General features: G+C 37.8%; 1 protein-coding gene across 2 annotated transcripts in view; it reads left to right on the forward strand.

Moving 5' to 3' along the window:
• The window catches only part of IL1RAPL2 (interleukin 1 receptor accessory protein like 2), a 1,201,631-nt gene that overhangs the window by 701,649 nt on the left and 478,310 nt on the right, over positions 1-21,672 (forward strand). The gene's annotated exons all lie outside the window — the stretch shown is intronic.

Genomic DNA, 21,672 nt, shown 5'->3' on the forward strand with positions numbered 1-21,672 from the left:
GAATGTTGACTTAACCCATTTGTGGAATCTCCTTGTAGGTGAAGGCTGATTTTAGAATGAGAATCTGTTAGATTTTTGGAATGAAATCTTCTTAGACTGCATCCAAAATATCATTTATACAAAATTCTCCATAAGTGAGTGATGTTATTGTGAGCTTCTAGTGATTCTTAGAGCAACTCCAAATGAAGAACATGCATGTGTGTTTTAAATCTGAAGTACAAACAAAATGTAAACTAGTGGAAGGATAAACTCAGAATATTCTTACTTGTTAGAGAATTTTAGGAAGTAATTTTCAGAGACATAAGACAGAATCTAATACCAAAAAGATATCCCTTACAATGAATGTGATGGAACCTGAGAAACTGTATGACAAAAAAATCTACTTACTATTGCTCACAAACAAATCTTGACTAATTTTCCTATTATTATATCTGTCATGTGTATTTTAATCTCATATATGGAACCTAAAAAAAAGTTGAATGTGTTGCAAAAGAGAGTAGAAAAATGGATACGGGACAGAGAGTGGGGAATAAGGAGTGTAGGTCAAAAGGTGCATACAAAGTTGCAGTTATATAGGATGAATAAGTCTAGTGATTTAATGTACAGCATGTAGTTAATAATGTTGTATGCTGAGGCCAGCGCAGTGGTTCATGCCTGTAATCAATCCCAGCACTTTGGGAGGCCAAGGCAGGTGGATCACTTGAGGTCAGGAGTTTGAGACCAGCCTGACCAACATGGGGAAACCCTGTCTCTACTAAAAAAAAAAAAAAAATTAGCCAGGCGTGGTGGCATGTGCCGATAATCCCAGCTACTAGGGAGGCTGAGACAGGAGAGTTGCTTGACACAGGAGGCAGAGTTTGCAGTGAGCTGAAATCACGCCACTTCACTCCAGCCTAGGCAACAGAGCAAGACTCTGTCTCAAAAATGAAAAATAAATATAATATTGCATGTTGAAAATTTGCTAAGAGATAAATTTTAGGTGCTCTTACCACAAAAATAAACATATGAGGAGATTGATATGCTAATTTGTTTGACTGTGGTAATCAGTTTGCTATGTATATGTATAAACAAAAAACATCTTGTTGTATAACCTTAAATATAAACAATTAAAAAAGTATGTGTGTGTGTGTTTGTATGTATACACATACATATTTCTATTGTGGATAATATCCAAGCCATGATAAACTTCAAAATTACCTAGACAATTGCAATATTGATTGCATTAATTGACTTATGATTAATGTACTTGGGCATTACTTGTTTAACCATCTAATGCCAACATCAGCCAGTTGGTTAATTTATAACATACTCTTTCTAATGTTAGCAATACATTTTTTCTTCTATTTTATTTTTGTTTAAAAAGGTTCAAAAAGGTCTGGATGACCTTTTTGAGATAGTGTTAAAATCAGTCAACTAATTAATACTTGCTGAGTTAAGTTGATTGCTACAACCCATATATTTAATTTGGTTTTTGATCCTTGAGATTCATTGTTTTTGTCTTTTTCAAAATTCTAAATGTTAGCACAGGGAACACAAAATATATATTTTTAATAAACTAATATATAATATACATATATATTACTTCACTCTCTGTACTAATAAATGATAGTTTTACTTCTTAGTTTGATTTTGTAGAGTGCCTTCTATGAAAGTTTAAAAATTCTTTTGATTAGAATTGCATGTTCTTTTCCCTATGAGCTTTCAAAATAACTACCATATTGGGCCAATTCCAAATAGCAAAGATCTGCTTTTGATTAGTTTCTGATTTCTTCAACATGAACTAGACTTCCCTGCCTCATTTATGGCAGAAAATTCAATCATGGGCAGTTGTACATTATTAATAAGTGACCTGACCATGCACAAAGCGTCGCAGCATCATCACTTTGGCCACAGTCACTAATCCTTATGAGAGGCTTGCAGAGCACTTCCATTTTGGATCATTTGCTGAATCTTGTAACATTATAGTATTTGGCTTGAGTTTCAAGTTGAACCAGAATAAAGTAAATACGAAACCTCCTTTTCACTCACATCAAATGGGTTCTGTTGACAACGCATTTGCTTCTTTCATTTCATTTTAGATTCTGGAAAAGAGAGCTAGAGCTACTTATTTTGTATATTTTATAAGATGTTAGTTTACTTGTTTTAACTACAGATCTAAAATTTCACTTGAATACCTCGCAGAGGATCTCAAAATTTAATGTGCATCAGAATCATGTAAAGGGACCCAGATAGGATGAAGATGAAGATCTCTAAATACAGATCCTCAGATTTCTCCCTTAGATTCTAATTTAGTACATCAGTAAGACTAGGAATTTACCTTTTTGTCCAGGTGATTCTGTTTTATGCTTTCCAAGGATCATGTTTTTGAGAGACACTAGAGAAGAGAATGGTGCTAACAAGTCAAAGTCATAGGTTTGATTATTTTGTGAGTATGTTAGTTCACACATGCACACACACACACTGATTTTTATAGGCCCCAATTTGTTTCCTTTAAATTTCTAGGAACTGCCATGAAAATAGAGATCATGGTAACCAAGGAAAATGTGTCAAGGTAGTGTGTGGGTAAAAGCGACTTCAACTAGGGAAAGCAATCATTTATTCACTTACCACTTAAATAAATATTTACTGAGTACATGTTACATGCCAGGCAACAAGCTAGGAGCTGGAAAAGATAATTCAGAATTTGTTTATGATTATCCTTGGGTCAGTGGTCGTCATTCATATAAGAAAGTATCATATTTGTGTATTTATTCACACAGTTCAAATGTTATGCTTGATGTAGAAACAAAATGGCTACTTGGTATGGAAGTTCAAGAGTTTGCTCTGTGAAGGTTTATTCTTTTTTGGAACATTATATAACTTATACCATGCTTTGTATGCTCAATAATATGAAAACAATTAACAAGCAGATTGTCTTCTCATAATTCAAAATATAAGGCTAGGATTATTTAAAGAGTAACCACTCATACTTGTTTTGGGTTTAGCATGGGATAAGAATTTCAATATGACATGAATAGAGGTGGTTAATTACAAAATTATGTAAATAGAGGTTCTTTAAATGGTGTATTTCCCTTATGCAAATTTTGAAAGATTGTCAAATTTCTAAAGCTTATTTTCTGACTATTCTTTTTAAATTTATGATTCTGAGAAATATAACTTCAGTAAAACAAGTGTTTCTTAAAGGTACATAGGTGCTATTTGCTTTAAGAAGGTCAAATATAAAAAGATCCAGATATTCAAAACTGATAAACTAGAAGGTTATCATTTGCTTTAATGAAATAATTTCTCCATATATGTCATAGTATTTCTTTAGATAGTTAGCTTTCTTTCTGCATTAAAACAGGATTTGATTTAAATGCAACTTTTCTGGAACACTTTTATTATATAAATCGTAGCAGACTTTTGTTATATTATTGTGGAAATTTCTTTTTATTCCTTCAAAGGCTGCAGATGCATAGGGAAGGGTTTAACAACAAATAGACGTGCACAGTAGCATGTTTAGGTCATTTGCTAATGATGCCTACAGCGACAGTTTTATTTCCCACAGCATATTTTAGGTGACTATATGCTATTTTAAAGTTTTTTTCTTTATTCTCATGTTGAATTTGTGCGGAGGGTTAATTGAAGTGAAAAAGTAAGACAGGAGAGTTGGTTATAAGAAGGTGAGAACTGTAGTACAGGTGATAATGGAAAAAGAAGAGGAGTAGGAGAGAGTGAGCAACATAATGGGATAGAGTCTCTAGGGATAAGAAGAGAAAGTCTGCCTTAAGAAGGTCAAAGGCAGTATGGCCATTTTCACGATATTGATTCTTCCTACCCATGAGCATGGAATGTTCTTCCATTTGTTTGTATCCTCTTTTATTTCCTCGAGCAGTGGTTTGTAGTTCTCCTTGAAGAGGTCCTTCACATCCCTTGTAAGTTGGATTCCTAGGTATTTTATTCCCTTTGAAGCAATTGTGAATGGGAGTTCACTCATGATTTGGCTCTCTGTTTGTCTGTTGTTGGTGTATAAGAATGCTTGTGATTTTTGTACATTGATTTTGTATCCTGAGACTTTGCTGAAGTTGCTTATCAGCTTAAGGAGATTTTGGGCTGAGACAATGGGGTTTTCTAGATATACAATCATGTCGTCTGCAAACAGGGATGAAATTGGAAATCATCATTCTCAGTAAACTATCGCAAGAACAAAAAACCAAACACCGCATATTCTCACTCATAGGTGGGAATTGAACAATGAGATCACATGGACACAGGAAGGGGAATATCACACTCTGGGGACTGTGGTGGGGTGGGGGGAGGGGGGACTGATAGCATTGGGAGATATACCTAATGCTAGATGACGAGTTAGTGGGTGCAGCGCACCAGCATGGCACATGTATACATATGTAACTAACCTGCACAATGTGCACATGTACCCTAAAACTTAAAGTATAATAAAAAAAAAAGAAGGTCAAAGGCAGACATTACTTATAGGGATTCTTCAAAATGGACACAAGAAGGAAGCCAGAACTAATTATCTTTATTTGGAAGGCAATTCACCATTCACCTGGCAAATCATTCAGAAATACATGCTTTTATGCAGCTTTTTAGACATGAGCATTAGCTACTTAGAAGAAACCACTAACCTGTTTCCTGGTGAATATGCAAACAACACCTCTCCTCCTGATTATTGTAGACAGCTCTAGAGTCCCTGGTTGGAGACTTTTCACACATTAGGGGTAATCTCTTAACCCATTGGCATTTGAATATGATGGCAAGAAGGATTTATTCCTTGAAAATACTTCAAAGATTTGCTGCTAGATTACTATTCAGCAATAGTAGCAAAGCAATCTGGATATAAAGCTTGGGGTAAAACTACCAAGTAGGATTTGGGATCAGTCTTTGGTGAATATGTTCAAACGCATGGCTTTAGCAAATGCTTTTAATTCCACTTTGCAAAGTTTAATTGTAGTGCCTTGTTGCAGGTGTCATTTAGATTACATAGCTTGTTAGAAAAACTTTCCTCTGGTGTGGAAAATGGCAGCTATTTACACACAGAGGAAGCAATTTCACATTCAGGCTGGAAAACACACTTTTTGTGGTCCTGGCTCTTAGTTTATTTATCCTTCTACTGTTAATGCTGAGATTTTGCAGGGGAGGGTGAGTTTAGAAAAAAACAGTGGAACATAGCAATATGGTGGAGAGTTGGTGAAATAAATAGTAGCGGGGATTTTGACTGAATAAAGATAATATAACAGATGTAATCTCTAAGCCAGCAACTCCATAATAATCATAAAAAGGGCTCCCAGAGAGCTTTTATCTATTGAGAGCTCACTGTGCAACATACATTGCGTTTAGAGATTTTCATTCATTTTCTCATTTAGTCCTCACAACCAACATATGAGGGTGGTGTTGGGGCTCAGAAAACAATACTTCAAAATGAAGGACTCATAAGCAAGTTTGTCTTTGACCTTTTCCTGCCCTCCTGTCTCTCAGTCCCATTCTCCCCACCCTCCCCGGAGGCTAGCCATAGAAACTGGAATCCCTCTTCCCCAAAGCAGGTCATAGAAACCAGAACCCCTTTCCTGCAAAGCCAGCCATAAAACCTAAAAATATTACTCTAACTTTCTCTCCACTTCTCTGTGTGAAAACTGGCCACAAAGAAGTTATTTGACCTACCTTGTTTAACTATAGGTCATAAGGTCCCCATTCCAGAGAGGGTCCTGGAAGGAATGTGTGCTCAGAGAAGCCCAGAAGAATCTAGACAGACAGGCCTTGCTGGTTTTCCCCACTCAGCTCATTAGCATTAGATCATAGTCTTTTTATCAAATCATATGCCTACATGGCTGTCCATTCTTTGCTGAACCTAAGCATAAAAATGGGCAATTTTCCCTGTATCTTTGGGTCTTCATTCTGAAGGCTCCTGTGTATACAGTGTATACATGTTAGATAAATGTATATGCTTTTCTCCAATTATTCTGCTTTTGTGAGTTGATTTTTCAGCAAATCTTCAGAGGGCCAAGGGGAATTTTCTGCCTGGGCCCCTATGGTGGTTACTATTATTGTCCCAATTTATAGAGAAATAAACTAAAACTTAGGTGAAATGATGTACCCAAAGTCACATACTCAGGAAATGGCAGAACACAGATATAAACCTAGGTCTTTCCAATTCTCAGATGTAGCTTTTTAATCACCACCAGGCAAAAAACTGCATGATTTCACTCACCAAATGTGTATTGCATACCTAGAGAACATAAACCAAAATATTGGACACGATGTCTATCATTCCACTATAATATCCTTTTTGGACATTCACAATTTGGTCTTCAATAATTCCCTATTAGAATTTAGATATCCATAAAAAAAGCACACTTGGCATTTTGAACTTAGTCCTTAGCTCTTAGCACTTTAGTTAAGATCGTTAGGAGTAGGGCCAATAATTGAATCTGCATGTGGTATGGTGCCAGGAAAAAAGCAAGGAAAAGTGAGGCTCCAGAAAAATTAAGAATGCATGAAACATGGTAAATTGTTACTGAATTTTGTGTTTTGATGCCATATGGCCCTACTAGTATGATAATTTATATTGAGAATATTCCAATGATGTTCATTGCAGTTATGACTATGATTTCAAGCTAGTGGAAGTGAAGCAATGGATGAATGTCTAGTTAAACAATGTTGGCTCAGTTGGTAAAGATCAATCAACACATAAATCAGTGCCTACTGTGTACAGTAAGAAGTTCAGGATCCAAGTTTGTAATGTTGTTCTGAAAGCAGACAGGTAGGGACAGAAGTGTGTTCTCCTTTGGAACCTGTGAAAAGAGAGTTATTCACTAGAATAGTGCTTCTCAAATTGTATTTTGTGGAACCCTGATTCTAAGAAATGTTAAGAGAGAGATTTCCAAGAGAGAAAGAAGAGGAAAGGAGAGGAGAGGAAGAAAGGAGAGGAAGAGAGAAGAGTGGGGAAGGGAGAAGAGAGTTTCTGTAGTTATTTGTGTATCTGCCAGGTCAAAGTTAAACAGTCATCTTTTTTGCAGGGTATCTCAGGGCACCTTAGTGCCCATAATATCTAATGTGTACTCTAATTTTCTAAAAGGGGGTTGGAGCCCAGGTGTGGTGGCTCATGCCAGTAATCCTAGAACTTTGAGAGGCTGAGGTGGGTGGATTGCTTGAGGTCAGGAGTTCAAGACTAGCCTGACCAACATGATGAAACCCCATCTCTACTAAAAATACAAAAATTAGCTGGCTGTGGTGGTGTGCACCTGTAGTCCCAGCTACTTGGGAGGCAGAGGCAAGAGAAAAACTTGAACTCGGGAGGTGGAGGTTACAGGGAACTGAGATCAGGCCACTGCACTCTAGCCTGGGTTACAGAGTGAGACTCCATCTCAAAAAAAAAAAGCGGTGGGGGAATGGGATATATTTTTAGGACATTTCCTAAACTTGTATGAACACATAATATTCCCAGCCCCCAAAGCATCTGAGGATGTTAAGTTTCCACAGAACAAACTTTAGGAAAGCTAAGTGAATAATTGAGTGAGTATCTGGCTCTATTGGCCTCCTGCTAATGCCTATAACATCAACAGTTGAAATAAAATACTTATTTGGCATTTAGGTTATGATTAGTATCACTTATTTTTTCCATTGTTTATTTTTTCAACCATCCTGTAAGCTCCTTAAGGGAATGGATTTGTTGACTAATTAATATCTACATCTATAAGTGCTGAGTATATGATAGGTATTCAAAAATTATTTGTAGCTTGCTTTGGCTGAGTGCTTATTTGATTGGTAAGTGTTTTGATTGGGTACAAATAAGACAACTTTGTGTTTGTAGAGCATCTTATAATTTCAAAGCACTTTCACTTCTGGGATCTCATTCTGTTACAAGAACTTTATGGAATTGTCAGCAAATGTAGTATTATTATTATTAATCTTGGCTGAGAGAGTTTAAAACAATGACCCTAGGATATAAGCTGGTGAATTGCACAGCTAGGACTAGAATCCCCATCTTATAAGTCCTAGTTACACTTTTCCTACTCTGCCCCACTGTTACTCTGTTTGCTGTCCCTTAATCCTGGGTACTAGGCCAGAAGAAGAGATGCAACTCAAGGAGGATTCCAAAGTTGGTGACTCCAGAGCTCAGGCCTAAGAATCTCTGAAATAACCTTTTATTTAAAATGTTGGTATACCAATCCATTGTTTTGTCTTTTGGAATAACTATTTCTGATTCTAAAAGGAAAACGATTTACTACTGATGTCTGAAACCAAATCAGCAGAGGTAGCCGCTAACAATACTCAAATGCGGCCAGGCACGGTGGCTCACGCCTGTAATCCCACCACTTTGGGAGACCGGGATGGGCGGATCACCTGAGGTTGGGAGTTTGAGACCAGCCTGACCAACATGGAGAAACCCCATCTCTACTAAGAAAAATATAAAATTAGCCAGGCGTGGTGGCGAATGCCTGTGGTCCCAGCTACTTGGGAGGCTGAGGCAGGAGAATTGCTTGAACCTGGGAGTTGGAGGTTGTGGTGAGCCGAGATTGTGCCATTGCACTCCAGCCTGGGCAACAAGAGAGTAACTCCAACTCAAACAAAACAAAACAAAAATAATACTCAAATGCTTCCAGCAGCCAGGCAGGTCATGTCCACAGTGTGAGGTGGACCAGGTGTGTGAAGCAACAACTGAAGGAAAAATTGGAGAGTACTAGCTGTACTGACTCAACCCTAGCTGATTGCTGCCATGTGAGATTGAGAATCCAATATTACTAGGCCCTCTGATTTATAAGAGACACCTGAAGTCTGGATTTTTGTGTGGAAATCCGTAAATTGTAAAGCACTCTGTAGACCAAATAAAACAGCCTGTATGCTAAATTCAACATGGGGACTGCATGTTTGTGGCTTTTGCCTTTGAAGATTTGGTTCAGTAGGACTTTTATTAAACAAGCGACTGACTGTGTGACTGACTCAGACTCTGTTCCACTATTTCCATCTCTAGCAGTGAGTGGAAAAAAATTTAAAGAAAGAAAACCTGAAGTGGCCTGGAGAGCAGTTAAAAGACAAACTGGGAACAGCATTCAGAAGCCATCCTAATCACACCATCCAGTAGACTAGTCGATCCAACAAGAGTGAAAGGGGCACAATTTATGGATGTAATACTATGGGACGGGTATTGACAAATGGATCACCTTAGAAAAGTGAGTGATTTAGATGATGAAGCAAGTTGGTGTCCAGTATTACAGATAAAGGAAGAGCCCTGGGGATGAAGCACCCGCCTTAAAGCTGCCCTGAAGCGGTGTGATGTGAAGCACTGAAGGGAACAAATCATTGGCATATGTTCTCTCTCCTCCATGTTCACTATGAGCAGGCAGTTAACATGATCTGAATGTACGTGTCCTGATTATCACATGAACATGTACCTCATTTGTACCTTTTGTGTGACCTAATAAGGAACAACCACAGCAGTCAATAGTTCTTGGATGCATTAAGGGAACATTCACATGACTGACTGTGCATTTCATAATTGACTGTTCTTTTGCACAGTGCAGAAATCTCATGACCAGCTTGCAGCAGTTTCTTTGTCTTTCCTCCTAGGCTTTATTCTCCTTTTCTGGATGACCCTGGCCTTTCCTAGCCTACCCAGCCCACCCTGGATGACATCTTTGTCTCTTATCTGCCTCTTTTAAATGTTTCAATGACCTGTTTTCTCTGCAGCTCATCTCCTCAGATCCTTGCTTTCTCCTGGGGTTAATCTAATGTCTCAATGAGCTAAAAAATTCATGACTGATAAAGACCAAAAATGCTTCTCTTCTCAGCTAACATATTTGCAATTTAATAGATATTTCAATTCTGTAACTCATAGGCATAACTAATGGTGGGAATTTCTGGGGACTTTGCAGGGCCTGTGGGGGGCATTTCCCAGAGTGTCACAATCTACCCTGCAGGTGGCTGCTTGTTCCTTCTAGAAACAAGGTCAACAATATTCATGACCTTGGGGAACTAGAAGAAAAAAAATCCTACTGAGGATCACTGAAAAAAAAAGGGCCTTGGATGTCAGTCCATAGAGTGACTTTTTTCCTTCTTCTGCATTTTTATTTTGTCTCTCCTTTCTTTCCCTTATTTCCTTCATTCTGCCTCAACCTATGACACAGGGCTATCTATTAACCCTATTGATGACAACCATGGAGAGATTGCCAGTCTTTGTCCCAGGAAAGTTTTTGTATCATGTTTCTATGCCCTACAGGGAGATGAACAAATACTATTAACTTTCCCATAAGAAGAAAGACAGTCTTATTTTTCTGTAGAGTCAGGGGCTGTGAGAGCATTCATTCCTGTGGGCTTATTTTGCAAGCAACTGTGCAGGAGACCAGTTTGGATAGCTGGGGTTGAACAAGTTAGAGCACATGACAGCAGTATATGGCAAACGTGTGCAATCCAGGCCAGTTCTACTCCAATGGCTCTCGTCCATCACCTAAGGTGACCATTGACTCCTTGGCTGCCTTCTCTGACACCAAGTTAGTGCTGGGGGAAGGGATTCTTAGGAAGGGGTTACACTGTGACTCCTAGCTATGTAGTTTCCTGAGATCCATGGGAGCAGATTTTCCTAGGTCCATTATGTATATTCTTGGGAGTCTCAGTTACCTTGTTCTCTCCCAGCCTGAAAGCAGTGGTTTGAGCAAGCTGAGAATATTCTATCAAGGCACCCTTCCATAGGAATGAAAACTAGGAGCTTGGTACAGAGGGAGACCAGCCATGAACTAGATCCAATAGAGTAGAGCAGATGCTCAGAGAACTATCATTTATTAGGTCAAGGATTATACTTTATAATCAGTCAAAGCTTCTCACAACCTCAAAAGGCTGGTGATTATTTCCTATATTTTATAAGGGAAGAAATGAACAGTCAGAGAAGCTAAGTTACTTGTTATGATCACACACCATAGTAAGTGATGGAGCTAGGATTTGAATCCACGTTTATTTCAAAACATTACTCTTAAAGCACCCTGTTACAAATTACCTGAATGGGTCCTGCTCAATACATGTCACTAGTTCTATTCCTTCCTGCTTGCCTGCCTGCTTCATGCTTTTTCCACTCCTCTTTGCTACTACATGTTTTACATTTCCGTAATTTCCTCGTGAAGCCATCACAGACTAACCTCATCTTATAATCGCCTATTTTTTCTCCTGAATTCCCTCAATAATTTTGCAAAAGTTTTCACCACATTGCCTGATACTAATTTATAGTAATAATTTATGAGAGATCTTCTTTGTGTAGATCTTGTAGCACCAATTACATTAGGGCTCTTCAAGATCTGCTGCTCCCTATACAAAGCTTTGCCTTACTATTTAGATACAACATAAAATTATGGAACTAGGAGCTAGGCTCTGTGTTTCATAAATATCATCTCATTTGATCAGCTCAGAATCCTGTAAGGTATGTCATTTTAGCCCTGCTTTATAGATGTGGAAATTGAAATTTGGGGAATTTAAGTAATTTTTTTCTCAATGTTCTACAGCAACTAAATGATAATGGTGGAATAAAGCCTCAGGTGGTTGTTTTTCCAAAGCCTGAGCCCCTCCCACTAGTAAATGCTTATAAAATTATCTGCTGCACACATTACTATGATATGGTTTGACTGGAACAATTTTTTTATTATTTTTTGTTTGTTTGTTTTGTTTTGTTTGAGATGGAGTGTCGCTCTGTCACCAGGCTGGAGTGCAGTGGTGCGATCTCGGCTCACTGCAACCTCCGCCTCCTGGGTTCAAAAAACTCTCCTGCCTCAGCCTCCCGAGTAGCTGGGACTACAGGCGTGCACCACCATGCCCAGCTAATTTTTGTATTTTTAGTAAAGATGGGGTTTCACCATGTTGACCAGGATGGTCTCGATCTCTTGACCTCCTGATCCTCCCGCCTTGGCCTCCCAAAGTGCTGGGATTACAGGCGTGAGCCACCACGCCTGGCCCATCTTAGTTATTTCTTGTCTTTTGCCATGCTCATGGATAGGAAGAATCAATATCATGAAAATGGCCATACTGCCCGAAGTAATTTATAGATTCAAGGCTATTCCCATCAAGCTACCACTGACTTTCTTCAAGGAATTGGAAAAAAACTAATTTAAACTTCATGTGGAACCAAAAAAGAGCCTGCATAGCCAAGACAATCCTGGGTGAGAAGAACAAAGCTGGAGGCATCATGCTACCTGACTTCAAACTCTACTACAAGGCTACAGTAACAAAAACAGCATGGTACTGGTGCCAAAACAGATATATAGACCAATGGAACAGAACGGTGGCCTCAGAAATAACACCACACATCTACAATCATCTGATCATTGACAAACCTGATGCAAACAAGCAATGGGGAAAAGATTCCCTATTTAATAAATGGTGTTGGGAAAACTGCCTAGCCACATGCAGAAAACTGAAACTGGACTCCTTCCTTACACCTTATACAAAAATCAACTCAAGATGGATCAAAGACTTAAATGTAAGACCTAGGACCATAAAAGTCCTAGAAGCAAACATGGGCAATACCATTCAGGACATAGACATGGGCAAAGACTTCATGTCTAAAACACCAAAAGCAATTGCAACAAAAGCCAAAATAGACAAATGGAATCTAATTAAACTAAAGAGCTTCTGCACAGCAAAAGAAGCTATCATCAGAGTGAACAGGCAACCTACGGAATGGGAGAAAATTTTTGCAATCTATCCATCTGACAAAGGGCTAATATCCAGAATCTACAAATAACTTAAACAAATTTACAAGAAAAAAAAAACGCATCAAAAAGTTGGCAAAGGATATGAACAGACACTTCTCAAAAGAAGACACTTATGCAGCCAACAGACATATGAAGAAATGTTCATCGTCACTGGTCATTAGAGAAATGCAAATCAAAACCACAATGAGATACCATCTCACACCAGTTAGAATGGTGATCATTAAAAAGTCAGGAAACAACAGATGCTGGAGAGGATGCAGAGAAATAGGAATGCTTTTACACTCTTGGTGGGAGTGTAAATTAGTTCAACCATTGTGGAAGACAGTGTGGTGATTCTGCAAGGATCTAGAACTAGAAATACCATTTGACCCAGCCATCCCATTACTGGGTATATACCCAAAGGATTATAAATCATTCTACTATAAAGGCACATGCGCCCATGTTTATTGCAGCACTCTTCACAATAGCAAATACTTGGAACTAACCCAAATGTCCAGCAATGATAGACTGGATAAAGAAAATGTGGCACATGTACACCATGGAATACTGTGCAGCCATAAAAAAGGATGAGTTCATGTCCTTTGCAGGGACATGGATGAAGCTGGAAACCATCATTCTCAGCAAATTATCACAAGAATAGAAAACCAAACACCGCATGTTCTCACTCATAAGTGGGAGTTGAACAATGAGAACACATGGACATAGGGAGGGGAACATCACACACCGGGGACTTTTGGGGAGTAGGGGTCTAGGGGAGGGATAGCATTAGGAGAAATACCTAATGTAGGTAACGGGTTGATGGGTGTGGCAAACCACCATGCCAGGTGTATACCTATGTAACAAAACTGCCCGTTCTGCACATGTACCCCAGAACTTAAAGTATAATCATAAAAAAATACTTAGTATGATGATTGAGAAATAGTAGGTACTTAATACATCATATTAATTGCAGTCATGCATGCATAATGATATTTTTGTCAATGATGGACTGTATATAAAACGGTGGTCCCATAAGATTATAATACTGTATTTTTACTGTACCTTTTCTATGTTTAGTTATATTTAGATACACAAATCCTTACCATTGTGTTACAATTGTCTGTAGTATTCAGTACACTAACATGCTGTACAGGTTTGTAGCCTAGGAGCAATAGGCTATATCATATAGCCTAAGTGTGTAGGAGGCTATACCATCTAGGTTTGGTAAGGACAATCTATGATACTTATACCATGATGAAATCACCTAATGACACATTTCTCAAAATGTATTCCCATTGTTAAGCAATTCATGACTATATTATAATTAGTATTATTATCATCATCATTATTATTACAGGAAAGTTTTCAAAGGTGAGTTCATGGCCATTTCATGACAAGAAAGCAGTCTGACAAATGGTCTAAGACAAATTGCTGTTGTTAATAGGGTGCTTCATTTACAGAGCTTGAATGGAAAAAAAATAGAAAGTTAACTAGGGGGCTATTAAAAAGCAAAGAGCCATATAAATAGGTATTAATATTTCAGGCAGAAATATTTTATTCAAGGAGATGCAATCATGTGGAATAATTTGTCAATTAAGGTGGTCAGGGCAAGTATTGTTGTCTGTATAAATGAGTTTTTGCAGCCAGCAAGAATTTTAAGGGATGTATGAGCCAAGAGCAAAAGCTGCTAAGACAAAGCTGAGGTGGAAATGAGTCCGGAGGACAAGCATGTTGAGGAAACTGGACTTTTCCTGTCTAGCATTTCCTTATGTCATTATGATTAATCCCTGGTGGTTTATAAAGGCAGTTAAATGGCCTCCTTTGGCATCAAATAGGAAAATAATTCATCAGTTCAAGTCTGTAAATCATTTCTTGGTACTGGAAGTACTTTATATAGTTAGAAATGTCTCCATGATTTGTCACTGGGCTCCAGTGGGGATCCTGAAGAGCAACTGGCAACCACCAGATGCAGAGGCCTATGTGATGAGTCTCATGGGCATGGGTCTGCAGGGAAAGAAGATTGGTTCCTTTCTGGGGTACATTGCCTTGATCCTCTCTGACTGGCCTGGAGGAATAACCACTTCTGTGTCTGTCATATAGTAGTCACTTAGTATGTTTGTTGAATGAATGAATTTACATATTTTGTGTGTTTTGAGTCCTTTGCATTGGAGCTCATCTTACAGTGTCTGATAACTCTCTCTAGCTATATTCTGGGAAAATGAGATAGAAGGGCAGTAATAATGATGTTTTGAAGCTACTGGGTCAGTACCCTAGTTATTTGCTTAATGTTGATGGTCAAGACATCATAGTCTCACCATAAACTGTAGCATAATAGTTGAATGAAAAATAATTGTGCTGTAATTTTTTATGATAAAAGGCATTTTAAATCACAGTTTAATTACCCAATCCCCCTTGCTCTTAAAATCAACATTTTTTGATTTTGTTATCCTTACATTTTGTGCTAGTAAAATTATCTTCATGATGCTATTTAATTTACCTCCTGGCGAGCATATGAGGTGAAAGGTAAAAAGGACATTTTGGGACAAGTGAAAAAATATCTAATGAAGTGGAAACCGTTATTCACCCTCACTCCACATGTAATACATTTGATATTCTTTTAACATTCATCAAATACTCATTGTTCTGGGTAAATAGATAAACTAAAAAAGGTATGATGTCTGTCCTGAGTGAGCTTGAAGTATAATGAGAGGGGGGAGAATAGACAGAGATTAAGTGAATAAACATATGGATACATGTATAATTATATATTGCAATATATCATTATAAGGAAAATAACAAAGACTAATTGAGATTGGGGATGGCCTACTTGAACAAAATAAAGTTGAGGCTGGACCCTGATGGTTAAGAAAAAGCCATCTAGATGAAGAGCGGGTGAAAAATATTTTAGAGGGAACAGCATGTGTCAGCTATAAAAGAAAGATGATGGTGGCTTGGGTCAGAAGGGTAGTAATAGAGGTAGTAAAAAGTAGACAGATTTAAGAGATATTATAGAGATAGAATGACTATACTTCCTCATGATGATTCCTGGGTTTTTGGTTTTACTAATAGGGTAGACAGTAGTGCTATTTCCTGAAATGAGGAAGACTGAGGGAGGTCAGATTTTGTGAGGGGTTACAAAAGTTCTGTTTTGGCCATGTTTTAGAAATACTTATTATATACTCTAGAGGGGATGTAGAGTAGACAGTTAAATATATGAATCTGGCATTCAGGGAAAAGTTTGAACTAGATATATAAAATTTGGAGCTGTCTGTATGGTATATAGGATGAGCTGCAATAAAGTACTAAATTGTGTGGGGCAATTGATGATTACTATAGGAGATCAATGCAAACTGCAGCTCCTAGGCCCTATGTTACATATTTTCTCCAGAATTGTGAACAGTATAAGAAAGCTACTTGTCATGATTTTTTGAAACCTCATCAAATTGTTAAATATTAAGCATGATAATTGTACCTATATTTTTTCTGCTATATGGGGATGATATCTTGTATTTAGCTGACATTTGAATCCTTCAGAGCTAGAAGAATATAACTAATGCCACACTAAATACAGTCACTATTTATGATATGTGCTGGGTGCCATATTAATCATTTTACACACATTATTGCTAATCTTTACCACAGTACTGAATAGTACAGGCCCCAATTTATAGATAAAGGAACTCAAACTTGAGAAGTTACACAACTTGCCCAAGGCAACAAAGCAAGTTTTGGGGGGTCTTTTCCCCATTCCATTTCCACACATTAGGAAAAGTGACTCTACATTTCCTTTTGGATTCTTCCAATTTCCAAAGTCTCTTACAACCCAAGGAACAGAAAGAAATATTGAGATATGCACATTTGCTGCTAGATTTCCTTGCTATTGAATAAAAGCCTGTCTGTAAGTGTCTGGTGCACATGCACAGCCTGCTGTTGGGATACCCATCACTTGTTAACTGCCTGCCTGGACTAGCAACTGTCTTCAAACCCTCTGTATACCATACTGAATTCTTAGTTGGAGGTCTGCCACCAACAGGAGGGCAACTCCCTGTGTGTGGTACAATGAAGGGAGAATAAAGCCTGGTACATAGTTGGCTCTCAATAAATGATAGCTAATATTATTATAATTTTCTTTATCTTATGCAATGACGACTTCTCAAAGTCCCTATGAAATATGTATTATTATCTTACTGGTGAGGAAATCAAGACTCAGCAAGGTTAAGTAACTTGCCCGGGTCACACAGCTAATGAGGAACTGAGTTGGGATTTGAAGGCCACTCTCTGATTCTGAAACTTAAGATTCATGCATTTCTCAAGTTTAATGACTGAGTGAAGCCAGGGGTGTCATTGGAGAATATCAAGAGATAACGTTAGATAGAGAAAGTAGGTCTAATTACTGGAGGGCCTTGAATGTCAGGAAGAATAATTCATATACTTAGCCTATTTGGGTATATGTGCCACAAAAGAGCTATGATTTTTCCTCACTGATAAAGAAGTTCGAGTTTTTGGACATCAGGTACCTGTTTCCAAGCTGAATGCCCTAACAGCTGTGAGTAACACCTGCTCCTTGCACCTGTGCAAACTCAGAGACTTACCTTCTCTGGTGCTGATTCGCATAACATTCTTTCTCCTATTTTCTCATTTTAACTCAACTCAATGAAGATCTTCTGAGTATCTTTTCTCTGCCAAGGCACTATGCTAGTTGCTGCTTCACTGGTTGTTGGGAGCATGCAGTTAAATGTAATCACACCAACTGGCCTGTATAGGTTTGTGAGGTGGAAAAGTCTAGGAAGAAAGATACTTGAGAAATAGCCAATGTCTTTTTTTGGAGCCCCTGCAAGAGAAAGCATAAGTTTATCCTGTCCTATTAACCAAATAATCTCTAATGATTGGAGATGTCTTTTTAAATTAATTAATTAATTTCTACTTGCTGGGAATTCTAGCTACACAGACTTTTGATTTAGCCAGTAATATTTTCAAACTATAAGTAGCTTAAAATGTGGATTAGAACTAGAAGGGACTTTGAATAGCATACAGTCTGATTCCCCTCATTCTGTAGATGAGGTAGCAGAAGCCTGGAGAGATTAATTTATGTGCCCCCAAAGACACAGCTTGGCAGTAACTAAGTTGATACTTTCTCCAATACAATGGTGCTTTCTGCCACTTTCTAATACTCCACAGTGTCTTTCTGACTTAGTCCTGAGCCTTGCCTAGGAGGCTTTTTTATGCCAAATTTAATCAATGTTCCATTTTAATTGAAATATTTAAGTCAGATTAATGTAAAGCCTTCAGAGAGTTCTGCTAATCTGGTTTATAAAAGTCACTCAGGCAAAACTGTGAAAGTATATAGGATTTCTGACATTTTCCAGAAGCCATTAGCTTATGTTCTTCAATAACTCTTAGAATATATGTCAAAGGAGGACAATTTTCCAACTAACCTTGGCACACTCCATATGTATTCCTTTTTGGTTGGTTCATAAATCAGTTTTCTAATTCAAAGATGTTTTAATCCTCAAAACATGCACTCTTCCTTAATGATTGTATGCATTACAATATTACCCCACAAACTAGTTTATGAATATTAAAGTTTATTAGTAGGGAGATACCAGGAAGCAGAACTGAGAAAATAACTCCAGCAGTCTCCCTTGCTTGAAAGGAAATACGATGGAATGAAAAGGGCACAGGCTTTAAAGTCAGAAAGACATGGTTTCAAATTCTTTTCTTACCATTTACCCCCTGGATGACCTTGGGGAGATTATTGAACCCCTTTGAGCCTCTACTTCCTCATCTGTTTGTATATCTTTGCTTACAGAGCTGTTGGGAGAATTTGAGATGACAGAGTAGATGATAGCTATTTCCACTTTGCTATTGTCATTATGACTGTTATTTACTGTTCCTACTACTAGTACTATTAGAACTACTGCTACTACTACCACCATTAATCTGCTTTGCAGCCTCAAAAAAAAAAAAACGAAGATGCTTTATACTACTACTATCACCATTAATCTACTTTGTATCCTGCAAAAAAAATGAGAATCAGCTGAAGAGCAGAAAAAACTTAAGACAGAGTAAGACAACGATAGAACAAAACAGCCTTTTTTTTTTTTAAAAAAACAACTTCTATTAACACATTGCCAGCCAGAAAGTTCAAACAACCTACTGAATAAAGATAGTACCTTAGTCAAGTTATGGAAAATATATTTTTACAAATGAAATTGTTAAGATAATAACCCTTTCATTAAACCACTCTGTATATTCCATCAGGACAGGAATCATATCTATTTTGCCCTTTTGTATTCCTATCACTTTAGTAAGGTCTTGACATAGAGTTGGAGATGAAAGAATATTTGTTGAATGAACAAATAAAATCCCTAAAGGTAAAAATAAGTATTATTCAGCTGCTATTGTTTCTTCATTAGTGTATTCATTAACCTATTGAAAAATATCTGTGCTCCTATTATATGATAAGCGTTGTGCTAAGCCCTGGGAATGAAGTGGTAAAGAAAATCACGCACAGTTCTTGTCTTTAAGAGCTTAAAATCTAGTGGAGAAAACAGCCCTTAAACCATCACACAAATAAGTATGAAGTTTTAATTGTGAAATTGCTATGGCGGAAAGAAATGCATGGACTAAAATAACATGTGTTAGGGGAATTTGACCTAATCAGTGAGATCAGGAAAGGCTTCTTGGAGGAAGTAAATCTTAAGCAGAGATATAAAGAGTAAGTGAGCATTAACTAGGAAAGACAGGGAAGGAGAGGCTTTTGGGACAAAAGGGTCAGCATGTGCAAGCGTGCCCTGTAGAGGGATCATGGTGAATACCAGGAGCTAAAATAAGGCCAACTACAGCTGGCTGGAGTGAAGTGAGGAAGCAAGAAACTAGAATAAGCTTAGGCTAGAGGGGTAGGTAAGGGACAGACAGTGCAGAGCCTTTGCCACATTCAAGATTTTCTCTTCATCTTAACAGTAAGAGGAAGACATAAAAGTGATTTTAAGGAAGGGTGTGGGTGTGACATCATCAAATAGTTTCAGTGTGGAGAATGAATTGAAGAGAAGCCTGAATAGTTATGCTTGCACTAGTCCAGGCTAGAGGTGATAGTAACTTGGACTAGGGTGGAAGTTGTGACTATAGAGAAAAGTAGATGCATTTTAGGGCTAGTTAGAAGGTAAAATCAACAAGACTTGGTGATGGCTTAGATGTGGAGTATCAGATAAATAGATGAGTGTCTCTTAAGTGATGATTAGGTTTCTTGCTTGTCTAATTGGAAGGATTGTGGTACCTTTTAGTGACAGGTCCGGGTATGACAAGGTTCATTCAATCACAAATCTTTATATGTGCTACTATGTATCAGGCACCATGTTAGGTGTTAGAAATTCAGGAATTTCTAAATTATGGTTCTTATCTACAAGAAGCCCACAGTCTAGTAGGGAAGGGAGTACAGAAAATCAACAAGTAGTTACAGTGCAACAATGAGCTAGCTTGATAGAGGAATGCCAAGAGTGCTATGGAAGCCCAGAGGAGGAGAATCACCTAGCAAATGGGCAGAGTTGCAGAACTGTGGGGAAAGCCAAAAAAGTGGAGTTGGGTTATTTTGGACTTGGTATGCAATAATTTGTCAGACCTGTTCACTAGACATTAAATTTTGAAAGAGAAAGAGTCCTTTTTTTTCCTTCCTCATCTCCTGCTTAGTGTAATAAGCAACCTGGTTGTATATTCCATGGCTGAGAGTGGAGACAATTCCTGATGTCACTGGCTGATTTCAAAATCTTTGCAGAACTATTCATATGTTCCTCTTCCTTTACAAGATATAATAGGCTTCAGAAAAGTGGTGTGTAAATCATATTGGGGTAAATTAAATCCTACTTTAAATGAACTGAGTCATTTGCTATCTACTTTTGAAAAAAAAAAACAGCATTCTCTAATTTTTTCACATATATTTCCATTTAATTCTTCAAGTTTCTTTAAGGCAATAAGGGATCCAGTTTCAGCTTTCTGCATATGGCTAGCCAGTTTTCTTTAAGGCAGTGCCCATTTTTTTATTGTTTTATTTATATAACTTCTAAATATATTTTACACATACTTTATTTTAAATCAACTTTATTGAGGTATAATTTACATTCAATAAAAATGTACCCATTAATGAGTTTTGATGTATAATATGTACCCTAAAAATATGTGTAGCCCTAAAAAGTTGCAGTAAATCTCCTTCACCCCAGTCCCAGGCAACCACCTATCTGCTTTTTGACATTAAATTTGTCTTGGTGGGGCTCACATTTAATGGCCTCCAGTGAATATTGTCGTGAGCACATATTAGGGGAAAGCCACTTTCTTTTATTTCAATTAGAATTCTTATATCCCAACCTTAATGCTATAAAGAAAATACTGATCTTATCATGCTTGTTTTAGTATGCTTTTTGGGGTTGTTTTGGTGGTGGTTTCACAGAGAGAATTCTTGAAAAGATAATCTGTGGGGGCTACAAAATTATGGGCCTTGATTTACAGGCAGTCAGTCATTTCCTCACTAACTACGTTACCATTATGTATTGATACTCTCTTTTTTTTGTTAAAACTGTCAATTTTTTTAACTTTCGTAAGTCAGTGATAGTATATAGGAATGGGCTCAGGATTTGCCATGTAGACCAGAGTTCAGACTTTAAGGAACAACCAGGAGGCTGGAGTGGTTGGGGCAGAGAGAGTAGTGGAGAGAAAATTAGGAGATGAGGTCAGAAAGATGGTGATGGTGGGGGATCAGATCATGTAGGGCTATGCAGGCCATTGTAAAGAGTTTGGCTTTCACTCTTAGATGGAAAGCCATTGAAGGGTTTTGAACAGAGGCTTGGCATGGCCAGGTTTATTTTACAAGGAGAACTCTGGATATTGGATAGAACATAGACTGAAGGGGGCAAGGACTGGAGCAGGGAGAGCAATCAGGAGGCTATTGCTATAGTCCAGAGGGAAGATGATTATGGCTTAAACCAGGGTTTAGCAGTGAAAGGAATTAAAAGTT

This window comes from Homo sapiens, chromosome X (genome assembly GCF_000001405.40).
Source record: "Homo sapiens chromosome X, GRCh38.p14 Primary Assembly".
NCBI classification, from domain to species: domain Eukaryota; kingdom Metazoa; phylum Chordata; class Mammalia; order Primates; family Hominidae; genus Homo; species Homo sapiens.